This window comes from Homo sapiens, chromosome 15 (assembly GCF_000001405.40).
Source record: "Homo sapiens chromosome 15, GRCh38.p14 Primary Assembly".
Lineage (NCBI taxonomy): Eukaryota > Metazoa > Chordata > Mammalia > Primates > Hominidae > Homo > Homo sapiens.
This window is the reverse complement of record NC_000015.10, coordinates 29,523,441-29,544,534: the sequence shown is the minus strand read 5'-3', so window position 1 is coordinate 29,544,534 and position 21,094 is coordinate 29,523,441. Positions and strand designations below refer to the sequence as shown.

The following is a 21,094-nucleotide window of genomic DNA, read 5'->3' as shown; positions in this document are numbered from 1 at the left end:
CCTTAAGAAAAAAATGTTAATTGTGGTAAAATACATGTATAAAATTTACCATGTTAACAATTTTAAAGTGTACAGTTCAGTAGTAGGTACATTCACATGGCTGTGCAGCCATCAACATCATACACCTCCAGAACTTCTCATCTTGCAAAAGTGAAGCTCTGTACCCCTTCAACATTTTCCTATTGTCTGCCCCCAGCTGCTGGCAACCACTGTTATACCTCCTGTCTCTATCAATCTGACTACTAACTGTGAATTATTCTGCTCCAAATATCAATTAATATTGAATGTGGAAATGTCCTTACTCTAATGCCTATTTTTCTGGCTTGGAGAATGTTCCTAACAGTAAAACTTCTTATGTCTTTCTTCTGCAGTGTTACTGTATTTTGTAAAATTATTAAATGCCTTAAAGGGCCATGTAGCAATTTTTTATATTTACATGTATGGAATACAATTATTCAGAGCAAAAATACTTTTAATAAAAGCTGTTTTATAAATACAAATTTATATAATATAAAAATAAAAGAAAATATAAAATACAGTTGTATTCAATAGAATGTGTTTAAACAGCTCTAGTAAAAGTTCAATTTCATTTACATAAAATCGGAGTGGAAATGTAAAGAACAAAGAAAGAGAATGGAAAATTTGACATCATTTTGGTAATAGACCAAGACCAATCTTTGTTGATCACCTTCTTTATGAAATTTAAAGTCAGATTGTGGGTTTGAAAAAGTTTTTTGGGGGATTTTTTTTTTTTTTGAGATAGAGTCTTGCTCTGTTGCCCAGGCTGGAGTGCAGTGGCGCAATCTTGGCTCACTGCAACCTCTGCCTCCCAGGTTCAAGCGATTCTCCTGCCTCAGCCTCCTGAATAGCTAGGACCACAGGTGCCCGCCACCACACCTGGCCAATCTTTGTATTTTTAGTAAAGACAGGGTTTTGCCATGTTGGCCAGGCTGGTCTCGACTCCTGACTTCAAATGATCCACCTACCTCAGCTCCCAAAATGCTGGGATTACAGGCGTGAGCCACTGCACCTGTCCAATTTTGCTGTCTTTTTTTAAGCCTGAGGTATGTAATTGGTTTCTGAAGCTAATTTAAAAATTCTCCCATCAAACATGACATTCTTTCTCTGCTAGGTATCTTTGGAGGAAAAATGGAAACTCTCCTCACTAAGTACCTGAGACCAAATTATGTTATGTGTTAGAATGGAGGTAGTCATCTATGTCTGCAGTGGTGAGTTTTGTGTGGTCCTGGGAGCAGGTGTCTGCTCCTTTGTTCACTGGCACCATAGGAGTCCTCTGTGTACGTGCAGCATTAATGGACACTATTATGATTCACCCAGCCTGCTCTTACCTCCTGTTGTAAATCACATGTGACTAACATGTCATGTAGACAGTCTCATTAAAAGCAAGAAGTTAACATGTAGAGAGTCTCATTAAAAGCAAGTCTGGGTATATACCCAAAGAATTAAAAGCAGGGACTTGAAGAGATACTTGTTTATCCATGTTCATAACAGCATCAACCAAAATAGTTAAGAGGTGGAAGCAACCCAGGAACCCATCCTTGGATGAATGGATCAATAAAATGGGGTCTCTCCATACCATGGAATACTATTCATTCTTAAAAAGGAAGGAAATTCTGACACATACTATGACATGGATAGACTTTGAAGATATTATGCTAAGTGAAATAAGCCAGTCCCCAAAGGACAAATACTGTGTGATTCCACTTATATGAGGTACCCAGAGTAGCCAGACTCATAGAAGCAGGAAGTAGGATGGTGGTTTCCAGGGACAGCAGGGGAGCAGTGTTCAGTGGGAGCAGTTTCAGTTTTGCATGATAAAAAGAGCTCTGTGCATGTTTGGTGGTGATGGTTGCACAACAATGTGAATGTACGTTGTGCCGTAGAACCGTAACTTAAAAATGGCTAAGGAGGGCCGGGCGCCGTGGCTCACGCCTGTAATCCCAGCACTTTGGGAGGCCGAGGTGGGCGGATCACGAGGTCAGGAGATCGAGACAGTCCTGGCTAACACAGTGAAACCCCGTCTCTACTAAAAAAAAAAATACAACAAATTAGCTGGGCATGGCTGCAGGCTCCTGTAGTCCCAGCTACTCGGGAAGCTGAGGCAGGAGAACGGCGTGAACCCGGGAAGTGGAGCTTGCAGTGAGCTGAGATCACGCCAATGCACTCCAGCCTGGGTGACAGAGTGAGACTCCGTAAAGCAGCCGGGTGTGCTGGCTCATGCCTGTAATCCCAGCACTTGGGGAGGCCAAGGCAGGTGGATCACCTGAGGTCGGGAGTTTGAGACAAGCCTGGCCAACATGGTGAAACCCCGTCCCTTCTTAAAAAATATAAAGATTAGCTGGGCATGGTGGCACACGCCTGTAATCCCAGCTACTCTGGAGGCTGAATGAGGCAGGAGAATTGCTTGAACCTGGGAGGCAGAGGTTGCAGTGAACCGAGATCGCACCACTGCCCTCCAGTCTGGCAAAAGAGCGAGACTCTCAAACCAAACCAAACCAAACCAATAAACCCTACCAATTCAAGCCAAAAAATAGAGTAAACCCTACCACTTCAAGCCAAAACAGGAGGACCAACTAATTCAGAAAAGCGTAAAAGATAGGCTTATTTGGAAGAAGAAAGACCTGTTACGCTTTTCTGTGTGTGTTGTAGTTCTGACTGTGTCAGCCCCAGCAGCTTAAAGCCCTTCCCTTTCTTCCCCACGACCTCGCTGTCCTGGCTCTGTGGCCACCAGCAGACCTGTCTTGTGCAGCTCCTGTGTGCTCTCTGTGCCCAGCCACAGTGGCCTCTTGCAGTCACCTGAACTCTGCCTGTTCCCTCCCATTTTAAGCATGGGTGCCTTTTCTTCCCTGTCTAGAAAACTTCTCATTCCTTTTTTCTAAGACAAGGGTGTGAGATTCTGCCCTTAAGCTGACTCCGAGGTCCCAGTAATGCCTTCTTATGCTTCACGTCTCACCCAGCAGTCCCTTTCAGAGAAGGCTCTCCCCGCCTCTCCTCTGGATGGCTGGCCCCTCTCCCAGCCCGCATTCCTGCCCTGTGTCCTCCCCGCTTGCTCTTGTCTTCTGTTACATGCTCCTCACTATCTGAAATTAAATTCTGTTTCTCATCTGTCTTCCCTCCTGGAACATGGGCTCCCTCAGGCTGAGGCTGAGGCCTTGGTAGCTGTGTCCATCCTGTTTCTAGGACCGTGCTTGGCCTACGGCAGGTGCTCAGTACCGATTTACGGAAGGAGCGAGTGAACAGATGAGATGAGTTGAAATTTCCGCAGTGTGCTCCGGGTCAGTTGTTGGGTCCTCCAAGGTGGGTCTGGTGAGTCTTTCTCAGCTTGCTGTGCCTTTTATTAACCATCCACATTATGTCCAAATGCCTGACATAGGGAGGGAGTGATGCTTTCTGGTCAGTGCAGACCCGGTGAATACCTGGAGGTTTGTGATCCCCAGGCCCCGAGCCATAGCGATGACAAAGAACTGCTCTGGCTCTGTCATTTTGAGAAGGCAGCTGGATTCTTCTAATGGGCGTTGTTATTTTAAAAAATATTTCCCTCATTTCCACAGATAGAGTCTATTTCTAGTTCACTAGCCACTAGGACATCATCTAGGATAAATACTCAAGGCTATAGGACTAACTTGTCTGCTTTTCATTTATTTTAAGATAGCTTTTTGATGCTTTTGTTTAGAGAAAGCTTTTTAAAATTCCAGTGGTATTAACTGTGTGATCCCTGGTTGGTGCAGATCACACTGTTTAGGGAAGATCCCATGTGCCGTTGGTAGTGTTACATCACTTTATCAGTGCTTGAGAATAGGATGATGGGACAGTTGTCAGTTACATGATCAATTATGCTGTCAAGCAATTATAGATGGCAGGCAAAGTGTTAGGTTTTCGTCTCCTGACATGGTATAGCACTCTTTCTATTTCTATTCAGATAGCCAGATCACCATAAAGTTAGCGGTATGTCTACCTGTCTCGGCGTGTTTATGTTGTGAACTTGCCAGTTTTCCTTCTCTCTTGTGTGATGCCTAAGAAGAGTTTCACTGAGCCCTGGTGGGCGAAAACAGAGTTGTCAGGTTTGTGTGTTGTTTTTGAATGCCTTCCACTGGCCTCTTTCTTTCTTTCTTTTTGATACATTATATTTGTACATATTTATGGGGTATAATCATACAGTTGGATAGAAAAAAATAAGTTCTAATGTTTGATAGCAGAGTAGAGTGGCTATAGTTAACAACAGTGTGTATAATACATTTCAACATAGCGAGAAGAGAGTTGAAACGTACCTAACACATAGAAATGGGAAACACTAGGGTGATGGATACCCTGGCTTGATTATTATACATTCAATACATTGGCCTGTCTTTGAGGTCTACTTTCTTTCATTTAAACTGGAAGACTGTGGATAAGGGTCCCAGAAAGGCTGGGGTGTCAGGAGTATGGGGTGCAGGGAGGCAATGGGCTGTGATATGACCCAAACTGAGTGATCCCCATACATCCTGGGTGCACGGGAGCCACTGGCCTGCCTGGGCCACATCTGCCTAGACTTTGTCTCTTGGGAGGCAGTGAGGCAAACAGAGTGAGAGAGCTGTTGGTGGCCACGTTTGCAGCTAGGTGGGCGTCCTGGGCAGCCCTGGCATGGTGTGAGGGCTCGCCAGGGCTTGGCTTGGAGTGTCATCCGTCATCTGTCATTTGTCACTCAGGGGATTTTGGCTGCTCTGGGCAGGATGTGGGGCACTGTTCTTGGCTCTGTAGCCTTCAGCCTTTCCTTTTGCCCTCCTAGCGATTCTGGGCCCTCTCCAACATTGTTTAGGTAAATGCCATTTTCCACCTTGCTCTGCCAACTTGATTCTGTTGCTTGGAAGTCAAAACCCAGAACAAGGCAGGATTGGAATAAGGAGTGGAGGCAGGTGGTAGACCCTCCAGGAAATAGGGGCAGGGCATGTGGGACTGGTAATTTGCCCAGTTTAAGGGCAGAGCTAGTGAAAGTACAGCCAGGGTTGAGTGGTGGACTCCTCACCGTCCATGGCAGGCAGTGGGGAATTGGATATTCAGGGGCTCCTGCTGATTAGCTTAAAGAAAAAGAATGCAGAGCCCAGATTCTGAAACTTTCAGCTCCTGGCATGTCGTGAACTTGCAGTGATTGCACTGAAACAAAAGGCGGGGGCAACAAGAAAGGAGCAGAGGGTTTCAGAGTGTGATCCTTCTGGTTGCTGAGCACACCAGCAGTTGTGTTCATGGCCTTGCCTGGTTCCCGAACACTGTCGTTGATTTAGGAAGCATGAGGTCTGACACTCTGGTGGATGCTGGTGGGGGTGGGGGGTGGGGAGAGGATTGGGAGACTCAGGATCCCTCTCAACTGTGCTTGCCAACCCAGGCAGGCTGGGACCTCTGTCGGGTGCAGCGTTTCCACCCGGCCCCAGTATCTCACCTGGGAAGGCAGTCTCCCGATGTTTCTCCCTCACCACCCCTTGTCATATCCAGACTGAAGTCAGTCCCCAGCAGGGAAGGTGCAGCTGCCATTATAAAGTCCACAGGGAGAAAGCTTACATGCCACGTGCCACTTGAACTGAATTTTTGCTAATATACATGGATGCAAACTTGGCTAATATATATGCTGGTGGAATCTGAGGGTGTTAGACCAAGGAGGAACAAACACAATTTTAGATTACACAAAAATTATCAATGTAGGTGCACCTACTCCAGAAAGATTTTTTTTTTTTGAGATAGAGTCTCGCTTTGTCACCCAGGCTGGAGTGCAGTGGCATGATCTCGGCTCACTGCAAGTTCTGCCTCCCAGGTTCACACCATTCTCCTGCCTCAGCCTCCTGAGTAGCTGGGACTACAGGCGCCCGCCACCACGCCCCTACCTTTTTTTTTTTTTTTTTTTTTTGTATTTTTAGTAGAGACGGGGTTTCACCGTGTTAGCCAGGATGGTCTCGATCTCCTGATCTTGTGATCTGCCCGCCTCAGCCTCCCAAAGTGCTGGGATTACAAGCGTGAGCCACTGCGCCCGGCCCAAAAGATCTTAAACCCCACACTGATCTATAAACCTTTGATTATCTTTTCATGTTGTCCTCTCTTCATGCCCTCACTTCCTTCTTTACCTAACTTATAATAATTTCCGAGTTCAGCCATTATGATCAGTCATCGTTTGCCTCTTCAGCTCTCTGGCTCTTCTCTCCTTCCTTATACTCTGTTGGCAAAACTCCAGCCCTGCTGAATTGAACTCTCTGCTTCCTCCAGGCCTGTAGCTGCCCAGCTGAACATGACTGGGACAAAACACAAGGCCGTGCTAAGTGACCTAACCAACCACATGCATAGTCACCCACCTCTTCTTTCCTCCCTCTCCCTCATTCAAGCATGTGGCAGACCCTATCCCAGACACTGCTGTGGGATGTAGCAAGGTTGGCAAAAATCCCCACCCTCCTACAGCGTGCATTCTAGTGGACAATGAACATGCCACATAAATAAAACGTATTGTTAAATCCAGGAGAAGGGGTGTGAAGGGTCAGTGGAAAGGGGTTGGGAAGGCCCCTTTGTAGAAAGGATGGCTAGGGAAGCCCTCATTAATGAGGTGATTTTTCAGTAGCGACCTGCAGAAGTGTGGAGAAGGGCAGAGCAAGTGCAGAGGCCAAGGCAGGAACCGCCTTGGGTTGTTCACAGGACAGCAAGGAGGCCAGCGGAGTGCAGTGAGGAAGAGGGGGAGCAATGGGAAACAATGATGGGACAGGGATCCCCATCAGTAGGGGCCTCCTGAGTCACTGGGAGGACGGTGGCTTTTTCTCTGAATGAAACAGGAGCTACTGGAGGGTTTTGAGCAGAGGAGTGACCTGACCTAACTTATTCTAACCGGATCATCCTGGCAGCTCTGTAGAGTGCTTTGAAGGAGGGCCAGGGTCGCAAAGTGGAGATTCCAGTTAGGAGGCTAATGCAATGATCCAGAGAGAGATGGTGGGGCCCTGGGCCAGGCCAAGGGTTTGAGGAGAAATAGTTGGATTTGCATGTACTGTATATAGGGTGCGTGGCTGGTCCTCAGCTTTACAGTTTAATCTCTACATTAGACTAAAAGAAGAATCAGGAGGAAACCAAAGGGGAAGTGGACCTCTCCTGAGGTCCTGCACTTGTTCTAGAATTTGTGGTGTGTGCTTTTGGTTGTATATATAAGGATAACGGCATGCTGTGTGGAGCAGCAATTTGTGTTTGTGTCTGGCGGTGTGAGTTTGGGATGAAGGAAGGATGTTGGTGCTGGCTGGTTAAAGCGGTGCGTGGACTCTAGTGGGCATTGGCTCCTTTAGGACCCTTTCTCTGCTTGGTAGTCCCCTCCCTTGGGACCAGTTGATCGAGTTGCCTTCAATCGCAATTACTGACATCATCACTCAAAGTGGCTTAAGCAGAAGGAAAATTTATTAATTTACATAGTATACATATATTATGTTACGTATACATAAAAAGGTCCAGAAGAAAGAAGGTGTATTAGCTTGCTAGAGCTGCCCAGATTAGGTGGCTTAAAACAATAGAAATTTCTTCTCTCACAGTTCTGGAGGCTGGAAGTCCAACCTGAAGGCATCAACAGAGCTGTGCTCCCTCTGAGACTCCAGGTAGATAGATCCCTTCCTCCCCTTTCTCCTGGCTTCTGGTGGTGGCCAGCAGTCCTTGGGCATTCCTTGGTTTGCAGTCTCAGCAGTCCAGTCTCTGCCTCCGTCTTCACCTGGGGCTCTCCTGTGTGTTTTCACCACATCCTTCTATGGTATGTGTGTCCAAATTTCCCCTTTTTATAAGGACACCAGTCATCTTGGATTAGAGCCCACCCAATGACCTCATCTTAATTTGGTTAAATCTGCAAAGACCTTCTTTCCAAATAAACTCCGATTCTGAGATTTTGAGGTACTAGGGTTTAGAACTTTGACTTTTTTTTTTTTTTTTTTGAGACAGAGTCAGGCTCTGTTGCTCAGGCTGGAGTGCAGTGGCACTATCTCAGCTCACTGCAACCTCTGCCTCCCGGGTTCAAGCGATTCTTCTGCCTCAGCCTCCTGAGTAGGTGGGATTACAGGCGTATGTCACCATGCCTGGCTAATTCTTTGATGTATCTTTTATGGGGGACAGAATTCAACCATAACAGGTTTCCAGTTGGTTAATGTAGTGCCTCGGTGACATTATCAAGTACCCATGTGTTTTCCATCTTTCTGCTCTGCTGGTAAGAGTATCTTAATTTAACCTGAATCCAGCTAGAAGGCTGCTGTAGTTTTAGGCACCAGAATCAGAGGACACATGTACACAAAAGAAGAGGGGTTACTGATCCCTGTGTCTCTTCTTAGTGGCAAGGAAATCTTTCCTAGAAGCCCCCCACCAGACTTCCCCTCAGTGGTCAGACCTAAGTCATGTGATCATCCCTGAACCAATCACTGGCAAGGGGAATTAGCTAATACTGACCTTTTCTTAGAGTGGGAGGTAGATTCACTTGACCTTGAGTCACATGGGAAAAGGATCCTCTAACAAAGCTGGGGATCTGTCCGAGGGAAGAGGGAACGTGGCTGTTGGGCAGGCTCCTCTGCCGCCTGGGTCTGCCTCCCTGCCTTTGGGGAATGTTTTCCGACTAGCCCCTGTGTCTTGGATTTCCACTCTTCTTCCTGGGATTGTAGCCAGTGCTTCAAGCAGTGGTTCTCACACTGTCAGATTTTGTAGTTAAAATGAAAGTTCGAGAATATTTGGGGTTCTGGTGAGCCGAGATCACACCACTGCACTCCAGCCTGGCCGATAGAGTGAGACTCTGTCTCAAAAAAAAAAAAGAATATTTGGGGTTCAGACATAAAGTTGCTAACTTTTTGGGTAGTTTGTTTTTTGAGACAGGGTCTTGCTTTATCACCCAGGCTAGAGTGCAGTGACACAATCACAGCTCATTGCATCCCGCACTCCCAGGCTCGAGTGATCTTCCTGCTTCAGCTTCCCGACTAGCTGGGACTATAGGTGCTTATCACCATACCTGGCTAATTAAAAAAATTTTTTTTTCTTTGTAGAGACAGGGTCTCACCAGGCTAGTCTTGAACTCCTGGGCTCAAGACTCAAGCAGTCCCCCTGCCTTAGCCTCCCAAAGTTGTGGGATTACAGGCATGAGCCACCATGCCTGGCCTTACTGTTTAGTTTTTATTCACACTGAAACTATTGTCTTTTATCACACCATTTTATTATACAAAGAAAAAGATTTTATTAGGAGAATGTTATAAGGGACACTCTCAGGTTCAACTTTAGCTTTTTACTTTATTTTTATTATTATTTTTTTAGAGATGATGTCTTGCTCTGTTGCCCAGGCTGGAGTGCAAACGGCACAGTCATAGCCCACTGCAGCCTTGAACTCCTGGGCTCAAGCGATTGTGCTGCCTCAGCCTCCTGAGCAGCTAGGACTACAGGCTTGCCCCACCATGCCCGGCTAGTTTTTAAGTTCTTTTTTTTATAGAGACGAGGTCTCCCTGTGTTGCCCAGGCTGTCTCAAACTCCTGATCTCAAGTGATCTTCCTGCATCAGCCTCCCAAAATGCTGGGATTACAGGCGTGAGCCACCATGCCTGGCCCCAGCTTTATTTTTAAGGATTGTTCTTCACATGTAATAAATTATCTCTTGACTTTTGAAAAGTATACAGTATCAGTCATTCACTTATCAGTCCATCAGTCTACAGATACTTATTGGTGCCTTTTTTTGTGCTGGGAACTATTCTTATTTTTGTCTTGGCCAGTGAAAACTTTGTGCCTGGCCACATTGTGGTAACAAGGTCTCAGGAATTGGCACCACTGAGGTAGAATTCAGGGTCCATTCCATGATGCCTCGCCCTGGGCTTGCCACGTTTTTATAGGGTGCCTCTGTGGACCGAGAGTACCAGAGGCTTAGCTCATCTCCTACTTAACAATAAGTAAGCCCTCATGCCCTCAAAAGAATTTTTGGAATTTACTCTTATCTTGGCATTTCATTGCTGAAAGAGATTAAGTATTTTACAAACTTGGAGACTAATCTGGGTCATTTATAGACATTTAAGAAGTATACTTGTTTGCCCTGTTGCTAAAGCAACCCTTTTTTTCATGGTGAAATAAAACCTGTTAAATATTCTTCAGAACCAGGAGGGGTATAAATAAAGTAGCTAAGTACAAAACAGTATAATATCCTGGAAGCCCAGTTTTCCATTTTGGGTGTTGGAATTCATGAGCCACATTTATAAAGTCTAAATCCAATATCTCCACGGAACCCTTTTTAGTGTGTATTTCTCCATCCTCTCAGACACTCCAGCGAGAAAATAGATTCCCAGTAGTTAGGGTTGTAAAAGCTGGAGCCACAGTTTGGTTTGGTTGGCTCCCACGTTCCGGTGAGCTCCTGATTAGGAAGGAGAGCAAGGCTACATATCCTTCTTTTTTTTTTTTTTTTTTTTTTTTTTTTTTTGGCCAAGGGGCACTTGCAGATGTGACCCACTGGTGTGGTGTTAGGTTGGACATATGACACTCTTTCTGTGGGTCACATATCGTTTCTATAGGCAGCAGCACATATTGCCACCTAATGCGTCTCCATACGTTCCTGAGCCGTGGGGAGTCCTGGGGCCCTGGCATTTCACAATGGAATAGATGTAAAGCAAACCCAAACTCTGTCCTGTTTCTCATTGTTTGGGCCTACTGGGGTCTGCTGTTGGCTCATTGCAGGCATGAGTGGTATTTCCCTTCTTCCTTTCCAAGAGAGTGTTGAATCTTGGTCTGCCAGAATGGGAGGTTCCCTTTCTACAGGGGAGAAATGCCTGACTTCTGTTTTTTACTGATGTCAGACTGGCTCGTCTAAGAAGGGGAAATTCCAAGGTGAGGATGGCCACAGATGTCTGCAGACAGAACACTTTCCAGGGTCAGGGCCTCTACAATGGACCTTATGGGCAGGGAGCTCAATGGTGATCATCATGGACCGTTTGCCAAATTTTCTGGGTTGCATATACCACTTAAGACTCTTGTACTCCATGAAGAAATGCTATTTCTCACCAGGTGAACAGGTGGAAGCTTAGAAATATTTAACTTTGGGGAAAAATAGAGAGGTATTTCTTATCCCCGAGTCTAGTCCAGCTGCTGTGTCCCGGTCACTTTTCAAGCTATTGCATTCCATCCCCCTTCATCCCACCATTGCAAGTGCAGCATCTGCTTTGCAGAGAGCCTCTTTCTGGTCATAAGTCTACTCCAACCAAAATGCGTAATTTTTATGAAACAAGAAAAATATAGACAGGGTGACTGGACATTTTCTGGAGAGTTGAAGTTGTGTGTGCTGTGGCTTTTGGAGTGGATAGACATAGCGCACTGCAAGAGAATGGAGGCCTCGTCAGACCTGCTGGGCGGGTGCTTCCTGGCTGGGCAGCCTTTAGGGGAGTTGCCAGGCCTCAGTTTCCCCAACTGTAGAGTGCTGCTACGAAGCCTATCCTGTGGGAAATCCAGAGTCAGAGAAAATTGAATAAAGTAGCCTGTGTACAATCCCTGGATTGGAACACACACTGAGCACATGGCCATTTCCCCTTCCTCCTGTAGAGGCTCCAGCACATGGAGGGTCTGCTGTCTTTGGGTGGTAAATATGGAAGTGAGTTTCAGTTGGATAGTTGAGAGTCTTGGCTGTAATCTTTGTCTTGCTATTTAATGCTTTATATTTATTTTCTGTGAAATGCCATTGAAATTTGTATGTTTCATAAATATTTCAACCTGAGAATTGCCTTTAATTCTTGGGGAGATCTCAGGTTTTGTAGATTTTAAAATCTAGCAGAAATCAATTCTATTGGCAGTCTCTCCTTTTTGTGTTAAAATCAGATAAATCCACATTTGCTAGTATAGCATATACAGAAAGTTTTAAAAATTGGAACTTAGACTTAAGCATTGGTTTAGCTAATTTAACTTGGACAACCCATTTATCAAAGTGAGATTTTCATTTTTGGTTAGAAGATGATGCTGTTTGGCACATCAGTGACCAGGAGTCAGTCTGAGTTGCAGCTTCTCTTGGTAGGTGCTAGAACAGCTGGTGTTGTAATTACTCAAACAAGTGTGTGGGATGCACCAGTTTTGTGTCTGCCAGTAGGAAGGTATGATCATGTTTTATGCTTATGATTTTGAATAAATGCCTAAATCAAGTGCATTTTTAAATAGTGTATCTCGGCCATGAATGCTACAAATCAGAAAACACTGTCTCTTTGTATAACTACATTTTAATCAGATTTTAATGCAGAATATGTGTAAAATATATTTCAAAGTTTTAGTAAACACAGATCACTTCCTGAGCTGTTTGTTTACCAGTGATGTTTTCTGAATAAAATATTTTCTCTAGGTCACAGTTTAGCGAAATAAATTCAAAATTGCTCTGTGTAATATAGGGTAAAAATTAGAATCTGAGGTATACAAAATTTCAGTTCGATAGGAGGAGGAAGTTAAAGAGATCTCTTGTACAACATGGTGACTATAGTTAATAGCATTGTCTTCTTGAAAATTGCTGAGTAGATTTTAAGTGATCTTACTACAAAAAATAAGGATGCAAAGTAATGCATATGCTAATTAGCTCAGTTTAGCCTTTCAAGCTGGGTGCGGTGGCTCACGCCTGTAATCCTAGCCCTTTGGGAAGTAGGGGCAGGTGGATCACCTGAGGTCAGGGGTTTGAGACCAGCCTGGCCAACATAGTGAAACCCCATCTCTACTAAAAATACAAAAATTAGCCAGGCGTGGTGGTGGGTGCCTTTAGTCCCAGCTTCTCCCCAGGCTGAGGCAGGAGAATCGCTTGAACCTGGGAGGCAGAGGTTGCAGTGAGCCGAGATTGCGCCACTGCGCTGCAGTCTAGGTGACAGAGTGAGACCCTGCCTCAGAAACAATTTTGCTTTCCATAATGTTTACATATTTCAAACAACATGTTGAAGTACGTGCAGTTGTACAAATTGTACAATAAATATGTACAATTTTTATTTGTCAATTAAAAATGAATTAAAAAATTTAAAAATGGGTTTCCCACAGCCTTTTGCCTTCCGTCCCCATGGTTGGCCCTCCCCAGGGCTGCCCTTCATGTTCTGCCCAGTTTCAGACCTCAGACAGGAGTTGGCCTGTCTTCTAGGCCCTTGTCAGAGTGGGACCTGGCCCTCCCCCACACCAGTCCACTTTCAGTTACCAAAAGCTTCTAATGTGAAATCCTGAAAGATGTTAAATGATGATGGCTAGTTTGAAAGTCTGGCGTGTCTGCAAAGAGCCCTGGTAAAATGAATAGTAGGCATTCAGATTTGTGTTTCTTGAATGAATCAGTAGTGGGTAAAATTGCTGGCTTCCCGTCCCCTACCTCCCTGTCTTCTCAAGGCGAGACTGTCACGCATAAAGGATTTGCAAAGTCAGGAGAAATCAAGAGCCCTCGTAGGTAAGAAGAAAACTGGGGGGAAGGTAGAACACAGCCTACCTGAGGCTGAGAACAGTGCACAGGGGAGCCCACGACTCCATGTGTGGCCAGAGCCACTGAGGGGAAGAATGCAGGCAGGTGCCTCCCTCTTCTCTCCGTCATTGGTCCCAGACTTGGGTGCGGCACCGTTTTGGGATGGGTCTGCATTTGAACCTTGAAATGCTAACTGGATCGAGATCAAGGACAGGGCTCAAAGGAAAGGCTACAGGAGGTGTCTGGCCAGAGTCTGCTCTGGGCCTGTGGTTGGAACTCTGTCAGATCCACAGCCCTTTGTCATGATGTTTTTGCTATATCCCCAAATGGAAGTCATAGAAAGTGCACCGTATTCTCACTTACGATTCCAAAAAGCATTACAAAGCCCTAAATGTAATTTTCACTGAAAATAATGTATGTTTCTGTGCTTAGGCATGTTGACCACTGGGAGACACAGGGAACGACTGGGTGCTTGCACCTCCACCCATCACCACAGACATGACGGCAGCCGCACAGCAGGACAGGATGTTGCACTGGAGTGTCCTTGTCAATGGGGACATGATTTTCCAAAGTGGTGAACCGCTCTTGGTAGAGTTCCAGACACGTTGGAGTTCGCTTGATCGATCTGGTAGTTGCAGTGCCGGGCACCTTAGTGTATATAAAAACAATGAGAAAACTCCTGGAGGTTAAAAGTGGAAGCAAGTTTTAGGTTGTGATTATTATAAGTTGGTGTTTCACCTACATTAACACGTAAAGGTTAACACTCCTTGCATAGATGGATGGCTACCATCCCTGGCCACTTTTCCCCATAGGTCAGGAACTACACAGCCATTATGACAACCCAGCACCCGCACAGATTCCCAGAGAACCATTGCTCTGGGCGAGGCTCAGGGAGCACTAAGTTGTTCAGTCCAGTTCCCTAGGGTGAGAAGGCAGCTGCAGGTGGATACTAAAGCCTTGTTCGGAAGAGCTTTGCATTTTCTGGAGCGTCCCCTCCCCACCTAGGCGCCTTCCGTACATCCGAGCATGGGAGATGTGAGCGGGAAAGACCACCCCAACCAAGACTTATAAGCACGAGGGGCCCTGGGCTTCATCCATCAGAATGGAGCTTTAGGTGGGGCCTGAGGTCTGCAGAGGCCGTGTGGTGAAGAATCCATGCAAAAGGCTAGACAAGAAGATGTAGCTTCATTTTAGCTCTGTTTGTCTTTAGTCAGATGACTAAAGAAACACCGCTTAACTTCTCTGACCTTCGGTTTTCCTGAGATTCAGAATGGCCATAAACCTGTGATGTTTTAGAGTTTTTGCTATATCTAAAATGAGGTAGTTTGTAAGTGCTGTGTAAACCCTAAGGTAGAAATTTTATTAGCTCATTTGAGCTTGGTCAAGTCAATCAGCCACTCTAGGTGTCATTCTCTGTGAGACAAGGTTTTGGTGTGTGTTCATTGTGCCCTTTTATTCTGTATATTTGGGTGCTCTGGCATCTGGGGCCTTGCTGATGCTGGAGGGACTGTCCCTCCCAGGCTAGCTGATTCCTGCAGGTGGTAATGGCTCACCTGTGAGTGAGCCTTTCAGAATGCAAACCAGCCAGCCTAGAGCCCAGTTCCCCAGCACTTCTTCTGGCTCTCACCTTCTAGGCCACGGTCCACCAGCCCTAAACACCTCAGAGCCAGGTACCAGACAACTCATGACAGCCCCTCCAGCCCAGAGGCTGCTGGATTCTTCAAACTAGCCAGTCCTAACCATGCTTAACCTGCCTCACCAATGGCACCAATCATCCTCAAACTTCTTTTGACTTCATAGAGAAGATACTCAGAAACTGAGTGAGGCGTAGCCTTCCTGTGCCTTTACTGGATTAGCTACCACACACCCCTCCACACCCTCACACACCCCTCCACACCCTCACACACCCCTCCACGCCCTCACAACCCCACCTTTATGTGGACCCTCTGCCACTTGCAGCTCTTGGGAGCTTATGTGCCCACAGCTCCTTGACCGGACATGCAAGAGGCTTTTGTTTTGCAGGTTGGAGAATCCCAGGGAAGACTCAAATAGGCTGGTTTCATGTCATGGTCCTATCTCTGGACTAGCCACAGTGGCTGGGGAGGGGCTAGAAAGAGTATAATTGGAAGTTTCAAGTACAATCACATGGGACAAAGGAGAATTTACAAGAAGAATAGAGTTTTACGCAGATAAAACAATACATATCACTTGAGTAACATAGTTTTACCCAGTTATTTTTAATGGTTGTATATACAAAATTTTATGAACATAATCTATATAACTGTTCTGCGATGGATGGAGTTTAGACAGTTCCATTTGAAACACAAAAAATGTGATTTTCAAGTGCAGAGATCTGAAATTAAGTGAATTACCTGTGAGTGGGCCTTTAAGTGAATTACGAAAGAGCGTTGGCATATAGATTTCATGGTGGAGCTAATCCTACTATCTAGAATTACAGTTCTTTGTAATGAGACCTTTGGACTTGATTTGCTATCAGAAGATGTGTTTGGTGAGGAAGTATCATTTGACTCATTTCAGGGGCTCTGTTTTTACATCTTTATTTTTGGGTTCCTTTATCATTGGAAACTGGCTTGTTATCTTTCAAGTGGGCACAAGGCCAGTGGACCAGATGGTCTGTACTGTAGGCTTGCTAGGCAGGAATGTGTCACTCTCACTTGGGTACTAGCGGCTGGATTTCTACTGGGAGTGGGGAGCCAAGAGGAGGAGCATCACTTCATTAGTTTGGAAGGACATGCAGCTTCTCTTCCAACTCATCCTATTTTTTTTTTTTTTTGGTCAGCCTTTAACATTGAGACTGTATCTTCTTATTTTGAAGGACTTTGAGGTTTTACAAATCTTGATGGGATTTTTATGGAATGCAATCTCAGATGCTGTCACATGATACTACGGACCACCCAATATCAAGGATCTGACCCCGTCAGATGACCCCTTGAATTTTGGTATAATGCCATCACAACCTGTCATTTGTTGTGCTTATTGTTTGCGTCTGTTCACCAGGAGGTCTGCTCCCCAGGGCAAGGATCATGGAGTTTGTCACCTTCACCTAGCACAGCACCTGGAAGGTAGGGGAGCTCAGTGAGTGTTTGCCAAATGGATGAATGCACGGTGTCTGCAGGGCGGATGTGTGCAGAGAGGCCTCAGTTATGGTGCACTGGTGTGTTGCTGGAGTGAAGCAAGGTCTCATCAGCCCTAGTTTGTCATAATCTTAGCAGCGAAACCAGCAAGCCCGTGAGAATGGAGACCCCTGTGAATCAGAGGGGTCCGCTGAAGCATCCTTACTGAGGGGGGCTTACTTTGAATTCATGGACCCTGGGGTGAATTTCCTGGGGTGAGACCTTGAGATTACATACAGATCCTTGTGTGTTGTGTGTGTGTTTATTTTTCTGGGGAGAGGAGTCCAGCTTCTATAAGCTTCTCCATGGCTCATGAAGAATGGTGGTGGCAAGATTACAGGGTCTGCAGTGGATGCCTTCTGTTGGCACATCTCTGATTTTGTGCCCTGGGGAGGAAGTGAGGCAGGTGATCTTGGGAATTACCTAGGAGTAAAGTAGTAAATTCTGTGTTTCATTTCACACGAGACTAAATTTCAGTGGGGAAGATGAGAAGGATTTTGTGAAATACCTGAGCCTACAACAGGGACACAAACTATTGATTGTTGGGATTATTTTTCTAGGAATGTTTTAGACAGATTTGTTTTCCTAAAGACTCATCAGCTGATCGTGGGGTGGCTGGGGGGCATCATGTGAAGCAGTGTTTCTCAAAGGTATTTTCCCATGGAACCCCCTTTTTAATGGGACATCTACTTAGATCTCACAGACTAATTAGAAAATGTCCTGAAACCCAGCAAAGGTTGGGCCGATGAAACAGAGCGAGCAGGTGCATACGGATGGCATTGGATGCAGGCAGGCAACAAATTGAAGAGTGTGGAGAAACGGGGGCATGGCCTGGCCATGAGGAATTTCCTCAGTATTTAGAAGCTCAGGAGAGCAGGCTGAGCTGCCACAGGAAACCAAGAAAGTGTGGCCAGATCTGGGGGAAAAGCAGGAGGGTGTGGTTTCAAGGATGTTGAAAGCAGAAAATATCAGCAGAAGGAAAGTGTGGCCAAATGGGTTGGTGACAACTGAGAAGCTGAGCAAATGGACAAACACGTGCCCCCCGGATTCCACAGCATGGAGATCGTTAGTGACCATTTGAGGACAGGTTTTGTGGAAAATCAGTGAGGAGGCCAGATGGGAGTGATGGAAGGGAGAGTGGGAGTGTGGAGGCAGACATGGTTCTCTGGGGGTGTTAGGTTGGCACGACTGGAAAGATGGGAAGGTATGGGGCAAACATGATCCTTTCCAGGCTGGGCACAGTGGCTCAGACCTGTAATCCCAGCACTTTGGGAGGCTGAGGCGGGAGGATTGCTATGGCCCAGGAGTTTGAGACCAGCCTGGGCAATATCGTTAAGACACCATCTTTAAAAAAAAAAAAATTTTTTTATAGTAGCCAGGTGTGGTGACATGTGCCTATAGTCTGTTACTCAGGAGGCTGAGGTGGGAGGATTGCTTGAACCCAGGAGTTTGAGGCTGCAGTGAGCTATGATCACGCTATTGCACCCTAGCCTGGGTGATGGAATGAAACCCTGTCTCTGAAAAAAAGAAAATACTCTGTACAGGGGGAGATTAAGAAGTAGCAGTCTGTGGGCTGTGGCTTGCCTCTAAGGTGGGAATTTATCAGTGGGGGTTGGAGGAAAGAGGGAATGATGTGGAGAGTCAGAGGCTGTCCAAGAGGGACACCATCTTTGAGAAGCGTGAGGGGAGCCTTGGTTTTTGGAAGATGGACACTTTCCCTGTAACAAGAGAGAGTTGTGATCCTATTTTTTCTTTTCTTTTTTAACCAGATGATTGAGTTGTTTGCAAGTGCCTTTCAGTTCACTCTACAGAAAAGCTTTTTGCCAGGTGTAGCACTATATCACGTACATGGAATTTTAATTTTACTTTTTGCATCCAAGCTTGCACAATCAATTCTTGTACTTCAGGGTATAGAATGTACCTTTCTCCTGCCATAGCATATTAAATCTACCCATTGGAAACATTTGCATTTAATAAATACAGAATTGATTAGCTCATTCTTGAAATAAATCAGTTAAACTTGTGCTTTTTGAAGTTGAAGAAATTACTTTCGTAGTTACTAAAGAATGTGCATGTCAGGAAAGGAGGGCCTTATTTCTGTGTTTTTACTTTCTGTTTGTGGTTAGGTTTTTATTTTTGTTTTCTGGGTATACAGTTCTGAGAATTGTAATACATGTATCCATTCCTGTTACCATCACCAAAATCAGGTTAGAGACCAGTTTCATTACCTTGTAAAATGGCTTCATCTTGTGATACCCCTCTCAAACCCATGCCAGCCACCAACTACTGACCAGTTCTCCATACTATAGTTTTGTCTTTTGCGGAATATTATGTGAATGGAATTATACCGCATATAACCTTTTGAGACTGGCCTTTTTCACTCAGCATAAAGCCTTTGAGATTCATCCATGTTGTTTCATGTGCCTAGTTTAGCCCCTTTAATTGCCTGGTAGTATCCCAGTGGGTGGCTACACCACAGTTTGTTACTCATTTACCTCTTGAAAGAATTTTGGTAGTGGTCTATTTTCTTAACATTTAGCAAAATGTTTTTGAGGTTCGTCTATTTTGTGAGCATCTAATAATACTTTATTTCATTTTATGGCTGAATAGTATTCCAGTAAACAGTTGTATATTCCATTGTTTATCCATGCATCGCATGATGGACATTGGTTGTTATGCGTGATGCTGCTGTGAACATTCCTGTACAAGTTTTGGAGTGAACACATGTTTTCAGTTCTTGGGTATGTACCTAGGAATAGAATTACTGGGTCATATGTAACTATGGATTTAACCATTTGAGGAACTGCCAAATTGTTTTCTAAAGTGTCTTCATTTTACATTCTTACTGAAAGACAGGACTAGCTGGATTTCCTAGGCCGACTAAGAATTCCTAAGCCTAGCTGGGAAAGGTGATCACACCTGCCTTTAAACACGGGGCTTGTAACTCAGCTCACACCCAACCAATCAGGTAGTAAAGAGGGCTCACTAAAATACAAACTAGGCTAAAGCAAGAGGTAAAGAAATAGTGAAATCATATATCGCCTGAGAGCACAGGGGGAGGGACAATGATCGGGATATAAACCCAGGCATTCGAGCCGGGAGTGGGCAACCCCCTTTGGGTCCCCTCCCTTGTATGGGAGCTCTATTTTCACTCTATTAAATCTTGCAACTGCACACTCTTCTGGTCCATGTTTGTTATGGCTTGAGCTGAGCTTTCGCTCGCTGTCCACCACTGCTGTTGGCTGCCATTGCAGACCTGCCACTGACTGACACCCCTCTAGATCTGGCAGGGTGTCTGCTGTGCTCCTGATCCAGCGAGGCGCCCATTGCTGCTTCCGACTGGGCTAAAGGCTCGCCATTGTTCCTGCACGGCTGAGTGCCCAGGTTCATCCTAATCGAGCTGAACACTAGTCGCTGGGTTCCATGGTTCTCTTCCGTGACCTACGGCTTCTAATAGAGCTATAAAACTCTGGAATCCATAAGGCCAAGAACCCCAGGTCAGAGAACAAAAGGCTTGCTGCCATCTTGGGAGTGGTCTGCCACATCTTGGGAGCTCTAAGAACAAAGACCTGCCCGTAACATTACCAACAATGTGTGGGGGTTCTACTTCACATCCTCACCAACACATGTATTTTCTAGTTTTTTTTATTACAGCCATCCTTGTGATTGTGATGTGCTTTCTTGCTGTGGTTTTGATGTGCTTTTCCCTCCTGACTAGAGATGTTGAGCATCTTTTCATGTGCTTATTGGTCCTTCAAATCTCTTTTTGGAGAAATGTCTATGCAAATCCTTGGCTCATTTTCCAATTGAGTTGTCTTTTTATTATTGAGTTGTAACAGTTATTTATGTATTTTGGATACTAGACCTGTACAGACATATGATTTACAATTTTTTTCTTCCAGTTTGTAGATTGTCTTTCTTTCTTGATGGTGTCCATTGAAGCACAAAATTTGTAATTTTGATGATATCCCATCTATTTTTTTGTTTGCTTGTTCTTCTGGTATCATAGCTAAGAAAACATTGCCTAATCCAACATCATGAAAATTTACATCTATATCTTTTTCTAAGAGTTTCATAGTTTTACCTCTTATATTTAGGTCTTTGATCAATTTTGACTTAAATTTTGTATATGATATGAGACAAGGGTTCAATTTTATTCTTTCACATGTGGCTATCTAGTTGTCCCAGCACCATTTGTTGAAAAGACTGTTCCTTTTGCATTATACTGACTTGACACTCTTGTTGAAAATCAATTGACTATAAATGTATGGGCTTATTACAGTAGCTTTGTAGTAAGTTTTGAAATCAGGAAATGTGAATCTTCCAACTTTGATTTCCCAAGATTGTTTTGGCTATTCTGGATCCAAGCATTTCCGTATGAATTACAGGATCAACTTGTCCATTTTTGCAAAAAAAAAAAAAAAAAAAAAAAAAAAAATCTAGCTGGGATTTTTATAAGGGTTGTGTTGAATTTGTAGAACATTTTGGAGAATATTGCCATCCAAACAATATTGTCTTCCAGCTCAGAAGCATGGGATGTCTTTTCTTTAAGCTTTCTT

At 44.8% G+C, this 21,094-nt stretch overlaps 1 protein-coding gene across 7 annotated transcripts in view, besides 1 other annotated feature; it reads left to right on the top strand.

Moving 5' to 3' along the window:
- Positions 1–21,094, top strand: part of ENTREP2 (endosomal transmembrane epsin interactor 2) — a 557,698-nt gene that overhangs the window by 130,875 nt on the left and 405,729 nt on the right. The gene's annotated exons all lie outside the window — the stretch shown is intronic.
- Positions 10,516–10,810: a silencer, noted in NCBI's record as "tiled region #8593; HepG2 Repressive non-DNase unmatched - State 24:Quies". NCBI's record gives its function as "represses a minimal TATA promoter and a strong SV40 promoter by Sharpr-MPRA in HepG2 cells {active_cell/tissue: HepG2}" and the evidence as "EXISTENCE:reporter gene assay evidence [ECO:0000049][PMID:27701403]".